A 25,166-nucleotide genomic window follows, 5' to 3' on the forward strand; every position below is an offset into this window, starting at 1 on the left:
AAACCTCTCTCTGAATCATGGAATATATAAATCTTTCCCTTTATCCTAGGTAAGGGATCAACTAGGCCTACCCCTGGATGAGAAATAGTTGCCAAGGAATGCTATATGCTGACTGACTTACAGACTAATTAGGATTTACCTCTGTACCTGGGACAGGGTCCATTTCCTGACTCTATGGGAAAGAGGCAAATACCTGATGAAGTAGGGCAGGGGACAAACAGTGTCTGCTATAGTCCTGTTATTTGGTGGTGGTGGCGGGAGGGCTTATAACACCCAGGAATTTAAAGAAATTATGAAATTTTGATCAGTTCTTTTTTTTGAGACAGCCTTGAATCAGAGACATGAAGTTTATTTTATTATTAATTCCACCATATAATTAAATAACAGACAAAAAAATTCAAGAGGGCATTTAACAATTTGATTTGGGTTGGATCAATCCCACTTATCCAAAAGTAATTTTAAAATATGTTAACTATGATTAAAAGTAAGGATTTAACTTTAGACAAGATGAAATATTAAAAGTTTATTATTTTAAATAAATTTAATATAAAGTCCAAATAGGCTCAAGTAATGGTTTGTCCATAGTAGTTGGTACTTTTTTTTTTAGCATAGCTTATACTTTATCTTACTGTTTAATCAGTTCAATATAAGAATTTTTTCACAAAGCCAGTTTAAAACTCTTAAATAACTTCTTTAGCGAGGACCACTATAACTCATAAACTTTTCTGGACAAAAACCAAAAAGTCTTCTTATTTTAAATAGGTTTTCTTGTATTAAATTAGTTTTTGCATATAAAATATAGTATCATATTATTAAGTATTTTAAAATAATTCTAATCTTATTCAGCTGATAAAGCATTATGACAATTTTAAAGTCTTGCTAATAACTAAGATATTATTCCTTTCATAGTAATAGTTGTTGGTTTTTACGATGCTAATTTAATGGTAACTTTAGAGAAAGTGTTCCCTAAAATGCAAGAAATCAACAGAAACAAATAGTAATTTCTCCAAAGCAATTTAGTTTACTTTACGGAATAGGTTATTTTCATGATTTACTCTTTTGATCTTTATCATTTCATAGTTTATGTTCACAAGGCAGTTAAAAATAAAAATGTTTATATGTTATACTAAATAAATATCTATCTATCCACACAGAATTACCTAATAATCCAGATCACTGAGGTACAGCATGCAATTGACCAGCTTAAGAGAAAACTAGATACTGACAAAATGAAACTCATAGTAGAAGTTAAGGTAATTTACATTTTTCCTAATCAGATTATTATAACATTTATCTTGAAATAAAATATTTTGGTGTTTTAACTTTGGGTGTCAATAATATAAGGGTAGCCAGGATTGACTGTATTAAAATTGTTACCTTAACAGTAAAGAGCATAGGTGAAAAAAAAAATGCAGGAAGAAAAACTAAACCTGTGAAAAGATACATGATATAATAAAGCCAAAGTAAAATTTAGTAAAATTTTACTAGGAAGAATTAAAGGAAAAGGAACCTGTGAGTCAATATATTCTCAAAAAAAATTTTAAGTAGTTTTCCTGTATTAGAATTATTAAGTCTGATAAACCACTGAGCTCTCCTCTGAACTGACATTTAATTTTTTATGGGTAATCGTTTCATTTTTTCTGGTTATTTTCATATGTATTCTATTATTTAAATATGAATAATGTGTCTTCTACTAGATGTTAAGTTTCCTTCCTGGCAGAGACTATGCCTTAGTTAACTTTGTTTCTCCCATGGGACCTTTTGTATAGCAGATGCTTAGTAGAGGCTTCTGGGCATGCTCTATTTGGTGAGAATTGTGTACAACTAATTACATCATAGAAATTATCTGTGAAGTACATATGTATTAAAAAGCTTTTTTGTTGAACAGAAAACAGAAGATTATACATTTTCATACAAGTACCCACAGCAAGGCAGGAAAATGAGAACGATAATTATATGAATGCTCTCATTTCTTTATCAGAAACAGCTTTATGACACAGAATAATGACTGCATTCTAGAATTAGCTCTTTTTAAAAAAATTTTAAAAAGAAAAAAGAAAATCAGTACTGTCCTCGGTTTCAGATAAAAATAAAAATAAATAAAATTTAAAAATAAAAAAATAGAATTAGCACTGTCCAACAGAACTTATGTGATGATAGAAATGTTCTATGCCTGCACTGTCAGATTGGTACCCACTAGCCACCTATTGATATTGAGCACTTGAAATGTAGTTTGTGTGACTGAGGAACTGAATTTTAAATTTTATTTAATTTTAGTTAATTTAAGTTTAGTAGTTACATATGGCAACTGGCTTCTACTATACTGGACAGTGCAGTTCTAGATTCTTTTTACAAGCAGCATTCTCGAGGCTAAATAAGCCCTGGTTTGGCACTGAGAAGCTTAAAACTTAAAATAGAAAAGGAAAAGAGCAGAGGATAATTTTTAACAAAATATCAGTTAAATATGCACTCAAAAAATAATTTGTTCAATGAAGGAAAACTGTCTATTCAATATATGGAGATAAAGCCAATATGTAAACTTGTACACTTAATAATTGGGTAGGTAGGAAGGAGTAATAAAAATGCCCCCAGAGGCTTGGATTATGACTCCCCTCATGCTGTTTTCTTCTGGAAAGCATGCACATTACTTGTAATCTTTGTATATTTTAACATTACAAATGTCACTCATGGTTTGAACTCAAATTAGAATTGTTCATACAAAAACAGTAAGGACAAGTGGAATAAGAGGAAAAAAAGAGAACAAAGTTTTCAGCTTATAGGCTGGGGGGAAAAAATCCTGTATTTAACCATAGTGCCTGATTGACACATAACAGACATTATTTAAGAAGTTTTATTGATTTCTGAATGATCTCCCCAAAACAGCACTACCTATAAGATTCAGAACTAAGGGACAAAAAAAACCCAGCCTGAGTCTCTTGCAACCATATTTATTCAAGATAGTATAGCATAAGTAGTGCTTCTCAAAGTTTAATATATCATCTGAGGATCCTGTTTAAAAATGCAGGATCTGACTCAGTAGGTCTGGGTGCAGCCTGAGATTCTTCCTACCTAACAAGCTCCCAACTGATGCTAATGCTGCTGTCCACAGACAACACTTGGAATAGTAAGGGCTCTGGTACCAGGTGGTTTGAATTTGAATCCTGGCTGTACCCACTTCACTTACTAGTTTTTTATCTTGAGCAAGTTACTTAGCCTCTAAAGGTCTCCATTTCAACTGTAAAATGGGGATAAATACTAGTATCTGATTCTGTAAAATTTTTGAAAAAAAAATAAGAGACTAATACACTTAGAAGAGTGCTTGCCACAGAGTAAACACTATATTTCTGAAATATCTATTCCGTTCCTAAGGGCTAGGAATTAAGGGTTTTTTTTGTATTTTGTTTTCTTGTTGTTTTCACTATTTTCTTTACACATTGAGAACAACAGGTTTTGAAGTTTAAGCAAAACATAAAATTCTTTCTCACTCTAGTTTTTAGAACAGTTCAATTGTATTGTCCCTATCTACTCATAAACAAGGTTACCTTATAGCATATCTCACCAGTAGATAAGCATGCTTATTAAACAGCATTCATAATCTACACATTTACTGTAGTAATCCAGTGGGAGTTGAAAGCACTGAAGCCAAATGAGAGAAGACAGTTAAAGCGGTTACAAAAACCCTGTTTACATGACAACTATGATGTACTTTTAGAAGGGTATGATGAAGTTCATTTTTGAAAAGTAATTCTTTTTATAGATGAGAAAACAAGCAGTTTCAGATTTACGAACATTGAAAACTGAACTGGCACAGAAAAAAAAAATAATACATCTCTACAATCTCAATTAGGTATGTTAATTTAAAACTTTTATTTGTAAAAAAATTTAAATATGTATTTGAACAGATTTGTTTAACCATTATTCTCCTTGGCAATGTTTTATAAAAAGCACAAGGTTTCTCTTTCTCCACTTTCCATGTGGGTATTACAAAATGTTTCAGGAAATATTAGATGTAATATAAAGCAAAATGATGAATGGTTATTTTTAACATTCCAAGTCCTTTACATATTATTTTACAGTGCTAATTTTATAATTTTCATTTTAATAATTTAATAATAAAATTCAATAATAATTTATTTAACAATTTAAGAGCTAATATAACTAAAATCTATTTGCAAAGAATAAATGTATATTAATGAATACTAATATATTTGCATGAAAATACAGACTTCATTTAACTTAATTTGTTCATTATATCTTAATTAAAAGAAATCTGGAAATATAAAAGAATGGGGGTATTGAAGTTGCATTCTGAGCTATGATAGAGATAAGCATCTAAGAATTTAAATTTTTTAATTCATTTATTTTAGAAATATGAAGACAACAGTGATCCAACATATACTATGAAAATGGTTTTTACTCTGTCACAAACAATTGTGTAAATAGGAAATGTAATATTCTCATAACAGATGGTTCAATCATCATGTATTCCAATTTACAGGGGCAAAATGTGCAGGGAAGCCAGGATTTATGTAAATCTAGAGTTCAAAGATACAGATTTTTAATCTGTAATTAGGAACTAATAAGGGCAGCACAATGTTGTTCTTAATTCCCTGGAGAAAGAAAACAGACTTTATTACATTTAGAAAACTTATTTGTATAAAATTGATCTTTTAGAAAGAGAACTAGTTGAGAAGCTAATCAGTGTCTTTAGATCATTAAAAGCACAATGCAGCTCATGCCTGTAATCCCAGCTCTTTAGGAAGCCAAGGCAGGAGGAGTGCTTGAGCCCAGGAGTTGGAGACCCATCTGGACAACATAGCGAGACCCTGTCTCTACAAAAAATAAAAATAAAAAAGATACATTGCAGATGTAGAAAGAAAAATTTAACCATGTAAGCAAGCTAGCCAAGAAATAAATTATATATGTCCATAAATGAAGAAATGAATAATTAGAAGTGTGACAGTGAACAGAATCAAGTTCAACTGCAAGTTATTCCTATTATTAAAAATTTTACAAATGAGCCTCATAAAAATAATGTAGTTGGAAAATATTAGGTAGTTCTAACTTACCAATTCAAAATATTACTGTTACATTCTTCTATTTTGTGAATACATTTAATCTTCTGGATTCTTTTTAATTCTCACTCACTGTCCAAAGATTTAGTTCAAGTACCTCAGAGAACATAAATACTATATGGAGTCAGGAAGCAGAAAAATTATTTTCATCAGTTTGATGAACCTAAAGGGGAGACACTACATTGTAGGTTTTAAATTTAAGATTTATTGGAGGGTTGGGGGAAAAGTATAGCACAAACTGCTTTTCAAAGACTAGGTTTTTAAAAACTCTAAGCAAACAATTTCCACTTCAGATTATACATATTTTAAAAATCAGCATTGATTCGTGAGCATATATTTTACTATAATGAAGGGAAATATGGCATAATAAAATTCTGAAAGCAATTTTTCCCAATTAAATTATAGTGTTGAAACATCTAATAGAGGAATATTTAATAGGTAAGTTGACTTGCTTCTTGCCTTTATGTTCCTGGATACTGAGGACATTCGTGTGTATTTTTCAAATTCAAACAATCAAAACATTTATTTATTCTTTTTTTTTAGTATACGGATAACAAAAGTATATAGCAACATAATAAAAATGCAAGAAACTAGATCTGTTGATACAGATCATCTTTCTAACTCTTAATGGTTTGACAAAAGATGTTCATCTCTGTAACAGCTTTGGCTTTAAGACTTCCCACATTTCTTCAGTTTGCTGTTTGGCTACAGCATCTCCAGAGTAGTCAAGACAGTTTGCATTCCACATGCCAATGCCCCGTAAGCGATAGTTTTGTATATATGTTGCCTTTAAAGAAATACTCTGAGGGTTATCATACCATACTTGATGAAAGTGGCCAGCAGGATCCTATATAAATAAATTAAAATGGAGATTTTAAAGTATTTAGTACAATTCAGCACCACAGGAAAGGGAAAAATAAAAGAAGTATACAGTACAGTAAGAGGGAAAAAAGTTTCCTAAATCCAATTATTCAAAAAGGATACAATGAAATAAAAATTTTAGGGCATAACACTTTCCTATTCTATAATTCCATGGTTCTATATTTGATACAAATGGTCCCTGACTTACAATGGTTCAACTTACAATTTTTAGACTTTACGATGGATTTATCAGGGTATTTCGTTCATTTTCAACTTATCATATGTTTATGGGTTTATTAGGACACAATACAATCATAAATCAAGGAACATCTGTACTTTCTAGGTATTATTGCTTATGGCACTTTTAACAATGGCAAAGATTACAGAAACGAGCCTCCTAATAGATTCTACTTGAGCTCCTTTTCATGTCCTAAGATTCTTTCCTTGCCCTTAGCCAGTGATTATTAGCCAAGGCGTACATCTGAATCACTTGCGGAGCTTTTAAAATACAGATTCCTGGGTCCCACACCACATGAAACCTATTGAATCAGAATTCTCCAGGGTTAATGCTAGGGCATATATTTGTTTTGTGTTTTAATGTTTCATTAGATAATGCTGGTATGCAACCAAAGTTAAGGGGAATCAATGCTCTGGTCCTCTAAAACCAGCTTATGTGCTTTTTTGTATTCTCTGTAGTTGCTAGAAGTGTGCCTGGCTAGGAGGTCTACAGAAGATTTTGTTTATGATGAATCAGCCAAGTCAAAAGGTAATGGCAATGGAGGAGAAAAGTACATCCTTTTCTAGGTCTTACAGATACATTCTCAGAGTCTGTTAGGTCTGCACTTTATTGGTGACTTAACATACACCTGATTATGAGCCATAAATTAGATTCTGGTCTTATGTTCACCTTCCACCCTAAAAAGTCCTTCTGCCCAGAATCAACTACCTCTATCTAGTACTAACACAGTCTCTCTCAGGCAGCACATGAGCTATTGGATAAGAGACAAAGGAAAAGGGAAAGGAGCAGATCTAGGACAAAGTGCAAAGGAAGGTGAAAAAGATAGGAGATAAAAAATAGAAAGACCTGTGACTAAAAATAATTTACTTATTTTTATATACATCTAGGAAACTCCTTAAAGGCATTTCTGAATTAATGCCAGTAATATTTACAGCAGCACTCCTGGAATTAGAATAGTCTCTTAAGATGACCACTTTGGGGCCGGGCACGGTGTCTCAGGCCTGTAATACCAGCACTTTGGGAGGCCGAGGCAGGCAGATCATGAGGTCGAGAGATCGAGACCATCCTAGCCAACATGGTGAAACCCCATCTTTACTAAAATACAAAAAAATTAGCTGGGCTTGGTGGTGCATGCCTGTAGTCCCAGCTACTCTCGAGGCTGAGGCAGGAGAATTGCTTGAACCCAGGAGACGGAGGTTGCAGTAAGCTGAGATCACGCCACTGCACTCCAGCCTGGAGACAGAGCAAGACTCCGTCTCAAAAAAAAAAAAAAAAAAGACCACTTTGAAGGAAAATAATTCACCTGGTAAATGAATACACTGCGGCATATTTAAATATGGTAGACTAATTGTAATCAAGCATATCTCAGTCTGTATCTTATATTCCATTCTTTAACATTTTTAGAACTAGACAAAGCCATGCATGCCCTAGTAATAGTTGTGATTCATTATTAAAAGGCAACTTGTAGAACTTGTACTTAAATATGACAGATTATTGAAGATTCAGGGGCAAACCCAAAGACATATACCTTTGAATTTTGCCATCATTCTAGCTAGTACTTTGAGCCTTTTTGATATTATTAAGAAATTCAAATGTCTCAAAATTGTAAAGGAACAAAGGGCAAAAACTAAGCACATGTAAGACTAATTTATGCATGGTTAAGGCATATTTGCTTTCCAGAATATTGAGTCCAAGATGAGCTGCTATTGCTGAAACAGCCCAATAGAGTGATTCTCTTCAAATAAGACAGAAACTTGATTCATGTTGCTACAGAATTTTGCAATTAATAAAAAAGAGGGGGCCAGGCGCGATGGCTTACGCCTGTAATCCCAGCATTTTGGGAGGCCAAGATGGGTGAATCACCTGAGGTCAGGAGTTCAAGACCAGCCTGGCCAACATGGTGAAACCCTGCCTCTACTACAAATACAAAAATTAGCTGGGTGTGGTGATGCATGCCTGTAATCCCAGCTACTCAGGACGCTGAGGCAGGAGAATTGCTTGAACCTGGGAGGCGGAGGGCGCAGTCAGCCGAGATCGTGCCACTGCACTCCAGCCTGGGCGAAAAGAACAAAACTCCATCTCAAAAAAAAAAAAAAAAAAAAGAAAAAAAAAAAAAGAAGGAGGCTGGGCGCGGTGGCTCACACCTATAATCCCAGCCCTTTGGGAGGCCGAGATGGGCAGATCATGAGGTCAGGAGATCGAGACCATCCTGGCTAACACAGTGAAACCCCGTCTCTATTAAAAAAATACAAAAAAATTAGCCAGGCTTGGTGGCGGGCACCTGTAGTCCCAGCTACTTGGGAGGCTAAGGCAGGAGAATGGCGTGAACCCGGGAGGCGGAGCTTGCAGTGAGCCAAGATCGCGCCACTGCACACCAGCGTGGGCGACATAGTGAGACTCCATCTCAAAAAAAAAAAAAAGAGGAAGGAAACAGTTATAACTAGATTTTTTTCTAAAGTGGCATTAAATGGCCTTCAATGCGCACCAAAATGTTTCCTGAATTCTGAGACCTAAAGAATGTGTTTCTTCATAGAAACAGAGTAAAAAGGTGGTTACCAGAGGCTGGGGGTGGGAAGAATAGATATTTCAAGACACAAATTTTCAATTAGGAACAATAAATACAAGAAATCTACTGTATCCCGTGGTAACTATAGTTAATAACAATGTATTATGTTGAAAATTCCTAAGAGAATGGATTTTAAGTGTTCTTACCATTTAAAAAATGGTATGTGAGGTAATACATATGTTAAATAACTTGATTTAGCCATTTCACAATGTATAGATATATCAAAACATCATCTTCTACACCATAAATACAGATAATTTTTGCCTGCCATTAAACTTTTTTTTTTTTTTGAGACGGAGTCTCGCTCTGTCGCCCAGGCTGGAGTGCAGTGGCGGGATCTCGGCTCACTGCAAGCTCCGCCTCCCGGGTTCACGCCATTCTCCTGCCTCAGCCTCCCAAGTAGCTGGGACTACAGGCGCCCGCCACTACGCCCGGCTAATTTTTTTTGTATTTTTAGTAGAGACGGGGTTTCACCGTTTTAGCCGGGATGGTCTCGATCTCCTGACCTCGTGATCCGCCCGCCTCAGCCTCCCAAAGTGCTGGGATTACAGGCGTGAGCCACCGCGCCCGGCCACTTTTTTTTAATTAAAAAAAAAAAAGAGGCCAAGTGCAGTGGCTCACACCTGTAATCCCAGCATTTTGGGAGGCCAAGGTGGGAGAATCACTTGAGGCCAGGAGTTCAAGACCAGCCTGGGCAATATAGAAAGACCCCGTCTCTACAAAAAGTAAAAAAATCAGCCTGGCATGATGGCACACGCCTATGGTCCTAGCTACTTGGTAGGCTGAGGCAGGAGGATTGCTTGAGCCCAAGAGGTCAAGGCTGCAGTGAGCCATGATTGTGCCACTGCACTCCATCCTGGGTGACAGAGCAAAACCTCGTCTAAAAAAAAAGAAGAATGTGTTCCTGCATTTTCACATTCATTAAGGAAAAAACAAGCCACAGATTACTAAGGTCAGGATTACAAAGAAACAGTATATGGTAGTATATACTGTCCTAAGATTCTATGTTACATATTTTTAAATTACAGGCATACCTCATTTTATTGTACTTTGCTTTATTGTGCTTTGCAGACATTAAATTTTTTGCAAATTGAAGGTTTATGGCAACTCTATTGAACAAGTCTACTGGTGCCATTTTTCCAACAGCAAGTGCTCATTTTGTGTCTGTGTCACATTTTGGCAATTCTTAAAATATTCCAAACTTTTTCATTATTATTATTATATCTGTTATGATGATCTGCAATCAGTGGTCTTTGATGCTACTATTGTAATTGTTTGTGGGCACCATGAACTGCCCATATAAGACTTAATAACAATATTTGGCTAGGCGCGGTAGCTCACGCCTGTAATGCCAACACTTTGGAAGGCCGAGATGGGAGGATCACTTGAAGTCAGGAGTTTCAAACCAGCCTGGCCAACATGGTGAAACCACATCTCTACTAAAAATACAAAAAATTAGCCGGGCATGGTAGGGCATCCCTATAACCCCAGATATTTGGGAGGCTAAGGCACGAGACTCACTTACACCTAGGAGGCAGAGGTTGCAGTGAACTGAGATTGTGCCACTGCACTCCAGCCTGGGTGACGGAGCGATACTCCATCTCAGAAAAAAAAGACTTAATAACGATATTGAAATTAGACTAATAACCTTACAATGGGAATTTTGCAATGAATAAAAAAGAGGAAGAAAATAGTTATAATTAGATTGTTTTCTGAAGTGACATTAAATGGCCTTCAAGGCTCACCAAAATGTTTCCTGAATTCTAAGAGCTTAAACAATGTGTTGGCCAGGTGCAGTGGCCCATGCGTGTAATCCCAGGCCTTTGGGAGGCCAAGGTAGGCGGATCACTTGAGGTCAGGAGTTTGAGACCAGACTGGCCTACATAGTGAAACCCCATCTCTACTAAAAATATAAAAATTAGCCCGGCATAGTGGCGGGCACCTGTAATCCCACCTATGGGGGAAGCTGAGGAGTAGAATTGCTTGAACCCAGGAGGCAGAGGGTGCAGTGAACCCAGAGGGCGCCACTGCACTACAGCCTGGGCGACAGAGCAAGACTCTGTCTCAAAAAAAAAAAAAAAAAGAAAGAAAGAAAGAAAGAAAGAAAGAAAGAAAGGAAAGAAAGAAAGAAAGAGAAACTAGAATCCCTCTTCCCTAAAATGGGTCATAGAAACTAGAGCCTCTTTTCCCCAAAACCAGCCATAAAGTCTAAAAATGTTACTCTAACCTTTCCCACCACCACCTTTCTGTGTAATAGCTGGCCATAAAGAAATTAAGACCCTCATTCCAGAGAGGTCCTACCCCATACCCATGAGAAGAAATCCTTCACAGAGAGGCCAAGAAAAATCTGAACAGACAGTCCTTGCTGAGTTTTCCCACTCAGTCTGTTTGCATTAGCTCATGCCCTTTATTCTGATCACAGTTCTACATAGCTGTCCATACTTCGTTGAACCTAAGCACAAAAATGGACAGTTTTTCCTGTATCTTTGGGTTTTCATTCTGAAACCTCCCATGTCGGGTAAAATTATGATCAAACACATTTTAAAAGGCAGAGACCCCTTTCTTCAAATAAATCTTATATTGGAAGAAGATGATGCCATTTAAGACTTTGCTAGCTAGACAGGAGAAGTCAATACCTGGCTTTAAAGCTCAAAGTACAGGCTGATTCTCTTGTTAGGGACTAATGAGGGTGGTAACTTTAAGTTGAAGCCAGTGTTCATTTACCATTCCAAAAATCCTATGGCACTTAAGAATTATGCTAAATTGACTCTGCCTGTGATCTATAAATGGAATAACAAAGCCTGGCTCACAGCACATCTGTTTACTGAATATCTTAAGCCCACTGCTGAGATGTACTAAGAAAAAAAAGAGATTTCTTTCAAAATATTACTGCTCATTGACAATGCACTTGGTCACCCAAGAGCTCTGATGGAGAACACAAGATGAATGTTATTTTCATGCCTGCTAACACAACATCCATTCTGCAGCCCATGGAACAAGGAGTAATTTCAACTTTTAACTCTTATTAATTAAGAAATAGATTTTGTAAGGCTGTAGCAGCCAAAGACAGTAACTCCTTTCATGGATCTGGCCAAAGTAAACTGAAAGCTTTTTGGAAAGGATTCACCATTCTAGATGCCATTAAGAACATTCATGATTCATGCATGGGAGGAGGTCAAAATATCAACATTAACAGGAGTTTGGAAGAAGTGGGTTACAACCCTCATGGATGACATTGAGGGGTTCAAGACTTCAGTGAAGGAAGTAACTGCAGAGGTAGTGGAAACAGCAAGAGAATTAGAATTGGAGGTGAATCCTAAATATGTGACTCAATTGCTACAATCTCGTGATAAAATTTGAATAGATGAGGAGCTACTTCTTATGAATACGCAAAGAAAGTAGTTTCTTGAGAATGGAATCTATTCCTGGTAAAATGCTGTGAACATTGTTCAAATAACAGCAAAGGATTTAGAATATTCTATAAACTTATTAATAAAGCAGCAGCAGAGTTTGATGGGGTTGACTCCAATTTTGAAAGAAGTTCTACTGTGGGTAAAATGCAATCAAATAGCATCACGTTTTACACAGAAATCTTTCGTGAAAGGAAGAGTCAATTGACGTGGCAAACTTCACTGTTGTCTTATTTTAAGAAATTGCCATAGCCACCCCAACCTTCAGCAACCACCACCCTGATCAGTCAGCAGCCATCAATGACAAGGCAAGACACTCTTCCAGCAAGCAGGTTATAACTTGATAAAGGCTCAGATGATCGTTATCATTTTTTTAGCAATAAAGTATTTTTAAATTAAGGTATGTACTTTTTTTAGACATAATGCTATTACACACTTAACAGACTACAGTATAGTATAAACATAACTTTTATATGCACAGGGAAACAAAAAATTCATGTCACTTGCTTTATTGCTATATTTACTTTATTGTGGTGGTCTAGAACTGACTCTGCAATATCTCTAAGGTATGCCTGTATATGTAATTGGTTACCATAACTTTTAACAAACCATATCCATGAAACAGTTTCTAAGAACTGCATGTTTCTAAGAATGCTGTGAAACAAGATTATATGTCAAACAATTAAACTACCTTATGTATTACAGCACTTCTCAAACCCATTAATATAATTGTTGTTACAAATCTCCAAGAGGGGCGTACAGTATATAGTGTTTTTCTAAATATATTTGGCCATGGCACACGTGTGTATATTTTGCACACATGTGCATCTGTGTGTGTAATATTAACAGTTCCCAGGACAGACTAATATAAACACTGTTTAGGAAAGATAAGATTACAATACACTCTAGTTTCACTAATAGGTATATACTTTCAGTTCCAAAGTTTAGAAAGCTCTACACTAAAGCTCTCTGTGGAGGCATACACATGTATATCAATTATAATTTATGACATGTAGTGTGTTTGCAGTCATTTTTTTATAAATGGGTACCAGACCATTAATTAAGCATATAAATCCTTGCTGAACTTCACTTATATCATTTTAGTACTCCTTTTAAAGTAACATAATCTGAAATAAATTCAAAGAGGATTTGTACTTAGATTTTTGAGCTGTGGAAGAGCCTTTATAATGCTAAAGGTAAATTATGAAAACTGTAACTTTTCTTTGCCATTTTGGTATAGCAATTCCTATTAAACACTACTTGACAGAATTGCTAATCACTTAGTGTATTTCTTCAGGTTTCCTTTATGTAATATTTTTGTAAGTTTTGACATTGCTTTATAATTTAATTATAAAATAAATTGAAAATGATAGTTTTTCCATTGTAAAGTCGATTATGACACCTCTTCTGTTCTCAGCCTCATTCCTCCCTATGTAAGTCTCATCAGAATCTGTAGGCCACTTTGAAATGGAGGCTTTCAGAGATAGTAACTTATTTTGGCCCAAAACCCATTCAAAATCAACAGTCATCCTAACATAATTGTCAACTGTTACAGAAATCCTGTTTGTGATATGCACATTTTTATGGCATCATCTAAATGACAAGTGGCCCAAGCAGAGTAGATTCACCATTAGCAAAACTCCAATTGCTCGCCAGGGAACTAAAGTTCCTGATTACAGATTCAAAGACAAGTTTACTCATGTAAATAGCAGTCTGCATGTTATGCCCTAAAAGAAAACTGATAGAAATTCTTGATATCAAACATCTAATTATGAAAATAATTACAAAAACTAATAGAATAAATGCTCATAACTTACGAAAAGTCTTACTTTATAGTTATAATAAGGAGCCCGCTGATCTTTATCCCATAGGTTTCCAGAAATAGAACTATTTATTTGCTTCATGATCGTTTTGTAGGGCACCTGACGTCCTGCAGCGTCACTACAAGGAGCCCCCCGGAAAGGGACTTTTGCAATGGTACAAACATGATCCTAGAAATGCAAAAGTGCTCATGTTATATATTATCAATTATGCAATTCTTAAAAGCCAAACCAAAAATATATAAATTATTTAGAAATAAAACATATACCATAGAAAACCTGACTATACAGAAAAAAGGTTAAAATAAATTTCATTATTAAATGAAAATGTATGATAATCATAAGCTTTCATAGAAGTAAAAATAAATAATTTTTATCTCAAACTATATTTCAGAGATTCTAAAGTTTATATATTTCTAATGAAAACAGAGAGACTCTAAAAAATATAATAGATAATAAAAATTATGTAACAAATGACTGTTCCTACCTCAGACAGATTCAGGCAGGTATAATCATAACCATACCAAGGAACACCCATTACAAGTTTCTTAGGATTAATGCTCATCTTGATGTAGTCATTATATCCTAGTCAAGCAGGAGAGAAAAAGCATATTTGTTTCTCTTCATATGTCAATGTGTTCATACAAGCTATGCAACCGTTCAGAATCTGTTTGTAAAAACAAGTACATTTATAAAAAACACTAATATTGTTTAATATGTTATAAAACATCCCTTAAGAACCATAAATTCTATATCTTGCTTTCTAAACCATTTCTCTTTGAATAGGAGAAAACATTCAAAACAATTAAGATCATACTGAAATAAAATATTCACAAAATCTAATTCTAGGAAGAATGACACATTTCAGGAAAGTATGCTAATTATATCTATTAATTCTAAGATATGATATACTTGATACTCTAGATTCTAAAGTTTCAAAAAAGTTTTATAAATCTTAACTTTCTAGCAGTGATGGTCTCAGAGTTTCTTAGAAAGTACAAGTGTTCCATGTTTTGCAAATATTCTGTAAGTAAGCTGGGGATAAGAAATGTGTCATCTATAGTGGGAGGAAACAAAGAGAAAAATGAACAAATCCCTGGAACTATCAGTCCTTTTCTTGCCCAATGCTGCAAAACATGTTTTTCCACCAAGACATATTCACAGATTACCTAGAATGTTCAGCTAAAAAACTTTATTACTTTTTAGAGCCTTTAATGTTATTATGTACTATTAAATAACCAAAAATGGGGTGGGGTATGTATCAGTTCCCAAACATATTGGTTTATTTAGTTTGGTTGTTGATTTATTTATGATACAAAGTATCCCTATGTTGCTCAGGCTGGCTTGAACTTCGGCCTCATGTGATCTTCCCACCTCAGCCTCCCAAGGCTTGAACCTTTTATTGATAGAACATAATTATAATGTCTTGCCTGAAACACAGTTTGGGAACCCTCAATTAATAATTACTTCGTAATTTTAACAGAATAAGTTATTTTTCAACTTTAAATAGGTATGTGGCTAGGCACAATGGCTCATGCCTGTAATTGAAGCTCTCTGGGAGGCTGAGGTGGGAGGATCACTTGCGGCCAGCCTGGGCAACATAGTATGACTCCATCTCCTTAAAAAAAAAATCTTTTTTAAATTAGCTGGGCATGGTGGTGCATGCCTGTATACCCAGCTACTCAGGGGGCTGAGGTTGGGGGATCACTTAAGCCCAGGAGGTCGAGGTTACAGTGGGCTATCATAGTGCCACTGCACTCCAGCCTGGGCAACAAAGCAAGACTCTGTCTCAGAAAAAGAAAAAAATGAAAATATTAGCTGGGCATGGTGGCATGCACCCGTAGTCCCAGCTACTCAGGAGGCTAAGGCTGAGCTTGTGAGGTTGAGGCTGCAGTGAGCCCTGATCGTGCCACTGCACTCCAGCCTGGGTGATGGAGTGAGACCCTGCTCAAAAAAATAAAAATTAAAAAAAAAAACAAAAGAACAAGCAATCTTTTATTTAGTTGACTGATGGAATACAAACCAATCCAAACTTTGAAGAGGATAATGCAAAGCCTACATCAAATGAATGACAGGTCAAAAGTACTCAAATTCTAATAGGAATATAATTTTTAATTTATCACAGATACTAAAAGAAGTTAATGCCTATCCTATTAATCATGCAATGAAGGTGCCCAACCATATCTATCTTTGCTATTATTTAACACTGGTTATTTCAACAAAAATATCCTGTCAAATTCTAGATAAGCATGTGATTTCATGACAAGAATATCAGACCAGAAATGAGAATACCTGATTAAGCCCCAACTATATAATACTTAATAGTTATGCAATCATGAGCAGTTAATTCTTTTTATCTCATCTAGAAATATACCTATACCACAAGATTGTTGGAAGAATTAAGTGAAAATCAAAACTTTAAAACTTTTTGTAAACTTTAAAGCTTTCAATTAAGTGATTTTTACATGTTTGAAGCAAGCCTTACAATTGAAAAACGTATACATATAACTTAGAAATACTAAAAACATCTTAATATTTTAATTTATAGAATATTATTAATATTATTAATAAATGACCATGTTTAGAGTCTTACCAGTTAATGTCTGATTATAGGGAGCATTGGCTGCTGCAATACATTCTGACCAGATCTGACTTTGTTCATCATAAGACATCACAAAGAGGAAGTCACAAGCATCTGCGATTCCAGTATAATTATAGCATCTTCTGTCTATGTTCTTTGGAGACCAAGCTACATCAAAGGTTACCTGTGGAAAAAAATCTTACTATTTTATGTAATATGATCACGTGTGCATATTACGTCAGATTTTTAAAATTATATATATTTTTTACCTTATACTACACAAGGAAAAGGAACTGCTTACAGTATATGAATGTAGGGTTTGACACACATAGAACTTGAACCATTCTAAGAAATATTTTTTGCTTACACTTGACTGAGTCAGACATATATTTGGACATACAATGACCAGGAGCAAGACACTATATAGAAGATGGCCTTCAAACTCAAAATGTCTTCAAACGCTAGGCTGGTACCTCAGCTGATTAAAAGAAGCAGGTATAATGACAACAGGGTATGGTGATGCCCCTGAGCAACTAGAGAGTAAAGGCACACTAAAAGAATTCAAATACAAAAGTTTTTAAAATATTGTGCAGGTTAAATATGTCACCTGTTGGCACAACCTGACTGGGTTGGGAGTTTCAGCCTGATTCACAATCACCTTATATGGTAGATTTGGCCCAATATTACAGTTAAGACAATAGTGGTGTCTTACGGCCTACAGGTATAGATTAATCAAGTCAAAATGTTGAATAAATCATTTAAATGATCTTATTTTACGGAAATATTCAAATAAATGTTGAGTATTATCTTTCTTTTTTGGGGGGGATGGAGTCTTGCTCTGTCACCCAGGGTGGAGTGCAGTGGCGCAATCTCAGCTCACTGCAACCTCTGCCTCCTGGGTTCAAGTGATTCTCCTGCCTCAGCCTCCCACATAGCTGGGATTACAGGCATGCGCCACCACGCCCAGCTAATTTTTTTGTATTTTTAGTAGAGACAGGGTTTTGCCATGTTGCCCAGGCTGGTCTCAAACTCCTGACCTCAGCTGATCTGCCGATCTCAGCCTCCCAAAGTGCTTACAGGCGTGAGCCACCACACCCAGCCTTATCTTTCATTTTGAATAGTGAGCCAGCCTTCAACAAGAATGTGTCTCTTTATGTTTATTGCCTTAACCAAATATTAATTAGCCTTATTTTATACATGTACAAATGTTCTAAAACTTCATTAAAGGTTGTTTTCCCCCCTTAATTAGGCACTCAATAAACACTGATTATTTTAAAAACTGAGATACTTTAGGTAACATTTTTATACTTTGAACAATTTATTCTAGCAAAACTCTTTTTAGGACTTCTTCAAAGTTCCCTTTATAATTCCGTGAATATTAGCACTTTATAATTATAAGCTTTGCTCAGTAGTTTTCCAACAAAATAAGTTATGAAATAAAATTATTACATATTTGTTCCTATTTTATCACTGCCTCTTATTACAAAATGAGAGGTATATTATAGTAATAGAGAAAAATAAATGACTACCTCTAAGCAAGTAAATTTCCAATCCATTTTGTAAGAGTGTTTTCACCAGGATTTTCTCTCACAGTTAATCTCATATTTTTGAGATGGTACTATTATTATATTAGACAAGAAAGCAAAAGACTTGGGTGCTAGTGTCAGCTATCTTATAGTTAGGTCTGTATCACTGCTAAGTCAATTAAAGCATCTGAATTTTTCCCATCTATAAAAATGAGGGTGTAGAAAGAACTCTTCAAGGCATTTATTTGTAGCTCTTTAATTCTGTGACCACAATTCTGTAAACCAAAGTTATTATCTTATTCCCAAAACTCATTCCCCCCTCTAGATTATCTAGTCATTTTTTGTTGGTTACCAGTTTAAAAACCTTGGGGCCATTTTCTGATTCTTTCTTCCCTTACTTCCAAAATCTAACCTCACGTCTCCCTTTGGGTGGCATCTCACAGTTGTTCTGCCCCTTCCTTTCCATTAATTAATTCATTTAATATGTATTTATTGTACACCTGCTGATTTAGGATTATGTCATCATCCAAATCCAAACTAAATCCCTTGATACTGTATTGTTCAGTTAGCAGTCCTTACTCATCTTCCTTTCTCATCTAGTTTTACATACTCCTACAGAATAGTTTCCCCAAACACTATTTTACACACATAACCCATTACACACAGAATAAAATGCACAGTCCTCAGCCTGACATTCTGGATCTTCCACAATCTGGCCTACCTTTGCAACTGTCCCTCCCACTAATTCACCTAACATGAACTTGACATGTAGCCCAAATTGTTCTCCTCACCTCTCAAGAGACAGAAAGAGATATTCCTACTGCAAGGATTTTGCTCAATCTCTTCCTCTCTGCTCTTTCACTACAGCTTAATCAGGATTGTCAAATAGGTTGTTTCCCATATATTCCACACATCAATTCTAACCTATTAGTAATCACTATCTAGAGAATGAAGGAAAAGTTTCTGAGGCCAAAATGTGTGAGGAGGAGAAGGGGTATTGTGGCCTGTATGCCAGGTATTTGCTGTTCTTAATCTACATTGTACTCTCCTGACAAGTTGAATTCCATACTGACAGATCTTCCCTATTTGCATAAAACCACAGAAATGTCAGTCGTCATATTGCTTATTATTTTACCAGTAATTCTCAAATTATTTTACCTGTAATTTTCAAATTCATGATGACCAACTCTACCAGAATCACCTAGGACACTTGGCAAAAATACAGTTCTCTAAGCTCTATCCCAGACCTACTGAGTCAATCTCAGTGATATGGTTTGGATCTGTGTCCCCGCCCAAATCTCATGTTGAATCGTAATCCCCAATGTTGGAGGTAGGGCCTGGTAGGAGGTAACTGGATTACAGGGGCAGATTTCCCCCTCCAGTGCTGTTCTCGTGATAGAGTTCTCACAAGATCTGATTGTTTAAAAGTGTGTGGCACCTCCCCACCCTCTCTCTTTCTCCTTCTCTGGCTGTTTGAAGTGCTGATCCCGCTTTGCCTTCCACCATGACTGTAAGTTTTCCTGAGGCCTCCCAAAAGCCAAGCAGATGTCAGCATTATGCTTCCTGTATAGCCTGCAGAACCGTGAGCCAATTAAACCTATTGTCTTTATAAATTACCCAGTCTCAGGTATTTCTTTATAGCAATGTGAGAACAAACTAATACACTCAGGATATTTTAAACAAGCACTCTCAGGTAATTCTGAGACAGGTTTAGGAATCACTGGTTTATAATACTCATAATGCTCTATACTGGAATACATTTTTAAGCATTCTGTTAGATATCAAGGAGCTGCACCCCGTCTTCAAAAAAACTCATTGTCTAGCCTATTACTTCTTAACTATAATCACCAATGAAACTTTTTTAAAATTGGGGGCTCTGGGATTACCCAAAACCTTTTGAAAAATCATTTCTGGGAGTGAGTTCACAGTGTGCATGTGTGTGGAAAAGTAAACACATGCTTACTTTTCCTTAAGACCTATGGTTATCTTGATATGTGGCCAAGTTTGAGGATCACTGATCTGGGTTCACATTATCCTCTGTTACCCATCTGTTGTCTGGCAAGATAGCTTGTGTTGTTACCTTCTGCTCTAATCATGTTCATTATGGCAGTGGGGAAGCACACTGCCTATTGTTATAGCTGTCACAGTTCTGTGTAGTTAGTCCTTTAAGCTTTACTGGGCCTTGGGTGCAAGTAATTCAGAGACTGTAGAGCAAGTGATACACTTCCCCAGAACTACCTCTACTCCTGGGTTGTTTCTGTCCTGCATTGGTAAAAGCTGGTTAGGCGCCCCCCTTGATTTTTGTTCTCCCATTGCCTAACACTTCTAACTGTGCTACAAGGCAAGTAGTGGGGGTAATCCCAGTGTTGTATTTTGCTGTGAATAGAGAATAGATTTAGGGCTTTAAAATTCCTTAAATAAGAACACCAAAGGCTCCAGAAAAATTTTTTAGGAAATAAGTGCTGAAACTCTTTCCCATTGCATTACTATAAAACAAAGATTATATTAGTTATACCCTCATGAGTATATTCTGATATGGAAAATATGAGGTTTCCAAAAAATAAATGAGTTTTTACCTGTGATCCCTCAATTTCACGATGGAAAGAGTCTGTAGTTTCTTTGACTAAAGCAGTTAATGCATCATATTCAGGTGATAAACAATTAACTTCTTGCTCTATATCTATATTAATTCCATCCATATATTGTGTTTTGGCCAAATTAAGTTTTTGAGCTATCCAGGATGCTCTGAAAGCAGGATCAATGATATCCTTTAAGGATACATCTCCTGTGGAAGAAGTATATATCTTTTGAACATGTATGCAAAAACATTTCATTATTTTGGAAGACTAAGCCCTTAACTGAAGTTTTCCAATGGAGAAAGAATATACCAAAGTAACAGAAAGCCATTACTCATGAATCTCCAAAATAACCATTATAAATCATTAGTAAAATTGTTCTGAAGTTAGAAACAGAAATTGTGGACTATGATTAAGTAAAGGTCATAAGGCTAATTTGGCAGTTAACATTTTGCTCAAAACCATACAGTGGTTTAATTCTTTTAAAAAGATCTGTGTTTGTGAAATGAATTACACAGTATCTAAGATTAATTATAGGATCCTAACAAAAACAGATAAACATAAAAGGACTTTTTTGGAAAGTCGGGACTATAGCAAGTGATACAGATAAATTTCCCAATTGCTGCACACATAGATCTGGAAACAACATACCTTTAAGTACTACTCTGGCTCCTTTTGAATGAGCGTAGCACATAAGTTCTGAGTCATATTTTCCAAATGTTGCCACAGTTGTAATCTGTGACCAATCATAAGATTTCCAAGTTTTCTGTCCAACATCAAACACAAAGACCTGCCAGAACAAAGATGAGCACCATCATTTAAACCAAGAATATTATGCTGACCGTCCAAAATACCGTTCATCAAACATCACCATACACCAAACACTATGGTGGCAGTGAGAGTACAAGTGCATAAGACATAGGGGTCCCAAGATAATTGGTGGCAGGGGTAATTAGCCAGGCTGGGAAAGAGGGGAAGGATGGGCCAGGAAGGAAGAGTGGCAAGTGCCAAGGCCTGGAGGCAGAGACAACATGGTGGTTGCGTAACTAAATATTTAGTATGGCCGACGTCTAGAATTTGGGGAGAGAGCATTAGTGAAGGACCAGAGAGTAGTAGGCATGGATTAAATCATGAAAGGCCTCATAAGCTCTGTTGAGAAGTTAGTACTACCTTGTTTATCCTGAGGTAAAGGGAGAGAATAAAAGCATTTTTAAAAGGGGAAGGTATGCATTTTAGAAAAATATTTTCAGCTGCAGTGGGAAAAGGATTAAAGAGACACCAAAACTGGAGGCAGAATACAGAAACTGTTGGAGGAATCCAAGTAAGAGATGATGGTGACCTCAACTAAAATTGTGGAGCAGTGGCGTTAAGTGAACAGATCTGGAAGATCCTAAGGAGGCAAAATTGACAGGACTTTGTGACTAATCGAATGAGTAATCAAAGGAGAGAAGTCTGATAATACTCAAGTTTCTGGCTACTGCAGATGGAGCCATAAATACATTTACTGTTTTTTGTTTGTTTGGTGAAGCTAGCTTCTTAGAATAGTACCTAGGTCAAATTCTAAGGCACCTGATGTTGTGTTTCTCTGATATTTTCTTCCCACAGTTAATTCAAGAAGCACAGAAGCCTCACTGATTATTTTTATTTTATTCCAAGGCATTAATTCATTGATTTGGCAAATATTTATTGAATTTCCAATAAGGTACAAGGAGAGTATTTTGCTAGGCTCTAAGGAGATAAAGATTAATGAGAGAGACCAGGTCCAGTAAGGAGTTAACTACTTAATTACAATGGTATTAAGGACTGTAGGGGTTACAGGGGGCCACGCCAGCATATAAAGGGGACCTGCTAGCCAGATGGTGCACGAAAACTTTTCTGAGGACTACACACTTTCGGAGTGGGCTGAAATCAGCAGAATGATGGAAGAGATATACCTATGGACAAAAGATTGCATTCTCAACTGAGGGAAGGGAAAGCCCAAAGGTCGCTACACCTCAGGAGAATTCTGAGATTCTGGAACTGAAAAAGGTCAATGTAGGTAGAGCACAGAAATCCTGCAAGTATGTGGAACTGGATAAAACCTTTAAAGTCGGTAGTGGAAAGATTAAGTAGGACTTCCAAGACCACTGAAGATGTTGTATTTTATCTTGGGATCAGTGGGAATCAATTAGAGTTTTAATTCAGGGGATATGCATTACAAAAGAGATCACTGGGTCCTTGTGAGGGGAATGAATGAGGGAGAGACAGTGGGGATAGCAGCTGTAAAAGTTAAACCAGGCATTTCTTAATTTTTTTTAATTTTTTTTAACTTTTCAGAATTAATTATGCATAACTCATTTTTTCTGCTAAGCAATTGCCTACTGAAATAATAAAAATTCATAATGTGAAATTAAGTGGCCCATTGTTTTCTGACTCATATTTCTATCAAAACTTCTATTTTAGTTCTGATAATTAAGATTCTATTTGTTTAAAAAATACTAAGAGCCTGTGATATAACAGATATCCTTAAAAAAAAAAAAAGCTGGGTGAACTAATTGAAAATATAAGGGGAAAATGCCATGTAGTCTAGTTTTTGTGTTTGAAAAACATAGAAAACGCCAGTAGAGAAAAAGACCATTTACCATGAAGATACAAATAAGCATAATTTTGCTTCTTTGAATAGTTGGTTTTCAAAGTGCCCACAGATATTGCCTAACCCACTAAGTATTGGGTACTACAGTAAATCTTTCAGGTTTTTTTTTTTTCTCTTTTTTGAGACATAGTCTTGCTCTGTCGCCCAGGCTGGAGTGCAGTGGCGTGATCTTGGCTAACTGCAACCTTCCGCCTCCCGCTCCGCCTCCCAGGTTCAAGCGGTTCTCCTGCCTCAGCCTCCCAAGTAGTTCGGATTACATGTGCCCGCCACCACGCCCAGCTAATTTTTGTATTTTTAGTAGAGACGGGGTTTCACCATGTTGGCCAGGCTGTTCTCGAATTCCTGACCTCAAGTGATCCACCCACCTTGGCCTCACAAAGTGCTTCTCAATCTCAAAAAGAGATTGAGAAAATTAAGAAATGTCTGGTTGAACTTTTACAGCTACTGTCCCCACTGCCTCTACCACCGCGCTGGGCCTCAGATTGTATAAAACATTTTAATTGGGAGGCCATTATGCTGAAACAGCTCCAACTGCCTTGGATTTCCTGCTTAAGCAAACTCCAGCCCAAGGTCAACAGTGAAAGGAAACTTAAGCTTAACCTATCAGAAACTGCCAACTAACCTCTAACTAGTAATTTTCCACCAAGTCATAGCTAAATAAGGCAAACAGTCATAGCCAACCAAGTAATTATTTTCCTTTGCTTCCCTGTTCGGCCTATAAAAGCCCATGCTACTAAAGCAGACCTCTCTGAACCCCTTCTGGTTTAAGTACTGCCGATTCATAAGTTGTTCTTTGCTCAAATAAAAAAGGTTATCCTACTTTGTCTGAAGTCTTTCTTTTAATAAGATGTTAGGTTTCCACACTAGGCAGGTTCTCCATAAACACTTTCACCATTTTTATTTCTTCTCCTAAGTCATGTATATATACTTTTTTACTGGCATCTAAGTGTTCTGCCTCAGATTAATGTACTAGATTAAGAACTAGGAATCATGCCTATTTCTACAAAAGAATCGTTCTTTGAATTAAGCCTTTGGACCTTCCTGATGTCATCCAATTCCTGCTTTCAGTCATCGAAGTGGGCAGTCAGGTGGTTTTAATATTGCTCCAGAAGGTGTTTGATTAAAGTTGCCAGAAGCCTTACAAATTGTTATGTAGATAGAAGGAAAATGTACTGAAAGCTATTTTTTTTACCACTCTTCATGGGTGGTTTTGAGGTACTTTAAAGGAAAGGGCTAGCAGGTATAGAAAACTAAAGGTAAGCAAAATACTCTGCATTCTAATGTACTGTTGGAGTGCTGAGATTCTTTCAAACGAAATCCTCGTTCCTTGGAAACATAAATGGATTATCCTACCTTGTTTGCTTTTTACACCCAGAGTGCTTCCGCAGAGGCACAGCAGGGGAATGAAAGGAGCTTGCCTTAGGAGGCAGATCTGGTTTGAACTCTCGCCTGCCTACGCAGGCACTTACAGGCTGTGAGGCCTGAGGAGTTACTCAACTTCTCTGAGCCCGAGCTTCCTCATCTATAAATTGAAGGATCCGTAAACAGGAAGGCCCTCATCGAGTGGTCAAAGCTGGTTTCGGCGCCCACGGCACCTCTCCTTAGGGCTCCGTTCTACCCTAACTTCTCTTCGTGCCCTGAAGCCCAGACCTAGAGGAGCAGAGGAAGGCGCTGACCTCGAAATCTGGATGGTGGCGAATCGGGCGGCAGAGCTCAGGCTCCGGGCATGGGCAGTCGGTCCCGGCCGCGAGCCGCAGCGCCAGCAGCGCCAGCAGCGCCAGCAGCGCTAGACCCGGGACGCCGCTCGGCGGGCTAGAGACGAGGCGCCAGCGTCGAAGCTGCGGCCGGGACATAGCAGCAGGTCTAGCGGGCCGGAGTGGG

At 36.6% G+C, this 25,166-nt stretch overlaps 2 protein-coding genes across 5 annotated transcripts in view, besides 3 other annotated features; one reads left to right on the forward strand and one right to left on the reverse strand.

Annotated features, from left to right (window-relative positions):
• The window catches only part of SPATA1 (spermatogenesis associated 1), a 60,994-nt gene extending 42,892 nt beyond the window's left edge, over positions 1-18,102 (forward strand). For 2 of the 4 annotated variants that reach the window (NM_001310156.2, XM_011542514.3), the window contains 3 exons: positions 1,155-1,253; positions 3,758-3,847; positions 6,633-7,218. In NM_001310156.2, the coding sequence (NP_001297085.2) occupies positions 1,155-1,253; positions 3,758-3,847 (189 nt within the window). In that variant the 3' untranslated portion in view covers positions 6,633-7,218. Of the gene's footprint in view, positions 1-1,154; positions 1,254-3,757; positions 4,320-6,632; positions 7,219-16,583 lie in introns of those variants that run through there. The other 2 variants (NM_001397487.1, XM_024446289.2) reach the window with 2 other exon arrangements.
• On the reverse strand, positions 334-25,163 carry CTBS (chitobiase). The gene is made up of 7 exons (NM_004388.3): positions 24,962-25,163; positions 21,305-21,443; positions 20,654-20,862; positions 16,564-16,735; positions 14,458-14,555; positions 13,980-14,141; positions 334-5,922 (listed from the first exon to the last, which is right to left on the reverse strand). The coding sequence occupies exons 1-7, from the start codon at positions 25,136-25,138 to the stop codon at positions 5,722-5,724; spliced, it is 1,158 nt and encodes a 385-aa protein (NP_004379.1). The 5' UTR covers positions 25,139-25,163; the 3' UTR covers positions 334-5,721.
• Positions 23,753-23,802: an enhancer, noted in NCBI's record as "active region_1253". NCBI's record gives its function as "activates an Ori minimal core promoter by ATAC-STARR-seq in GM12878 lymphoblastoid cells {active_cell/tissue: GM12878}" and the evidence as "EXISTENCE:reporter gene assay evidence [ECO:0000049][PMID:35858748]".
• Positions 24,516-24,615: an enhancer, noted in NCBI's record as "active region_1254". NCBI's record gives its function as "activates an Ori minimal core promoter by ATAC-STARR-seq in GM12878 lymphoblastoid cells {active_cell/tissue: GM12878}" and the evidence as "EXISTENCE:reporter gene assay evidence [ECO:0000049][PMID:35858748]".
• Positions 24,726-25,015: an enhancer, noted in NCBI's record as "active region_1255". NCBI's record gives its function as "activates an Ori minimal core promoter by ATAC-STARR-seq in GM12878 lymphoblastoid cells {active_cell/tissue: GM12878}" and the evidence as "EXISTENCE:reporter gene assay evidence [ECO:0000049][PMID:35858748]".

The sequence above is a fragment of the Homo sapiens genome, chromosome 1 (assembly GCF_000001405.40).
Source record: "Homo sapiens chromosome 1, GRCh38.p14 Primary Assembly".
NCBI lineage: Eukaryota > Metazoa > Chordata > Mammalia > Primates > Hominidae > Homo > Homo sapiens.

Excerpts from the sequence above, each read along its gene's own strand:
- CTBS (NM_004388.3), bottom strand. The coding sequence starts at position 25,138 with ATGTCCCGGCCGCAGCTTCGACGCTGGCGCCTCGTCTCTAGCCCGCCG. Across the intron at positions 21,444-24,961 it reads GCCACCATCCAGATTTCGAG|GTCTTTGTGTTTGATGTTGG; the intron begins GTCAGCGCCTTC and ends TTGTTCTGGCAG. Across the intron at positions 5,923-13,979 it reads CTCCTTATTATAACTATAAA|GATCCTGCTGGCCACTTTCA; the intron begins GTAAGACTTTTC and ends TTATTTATATAG.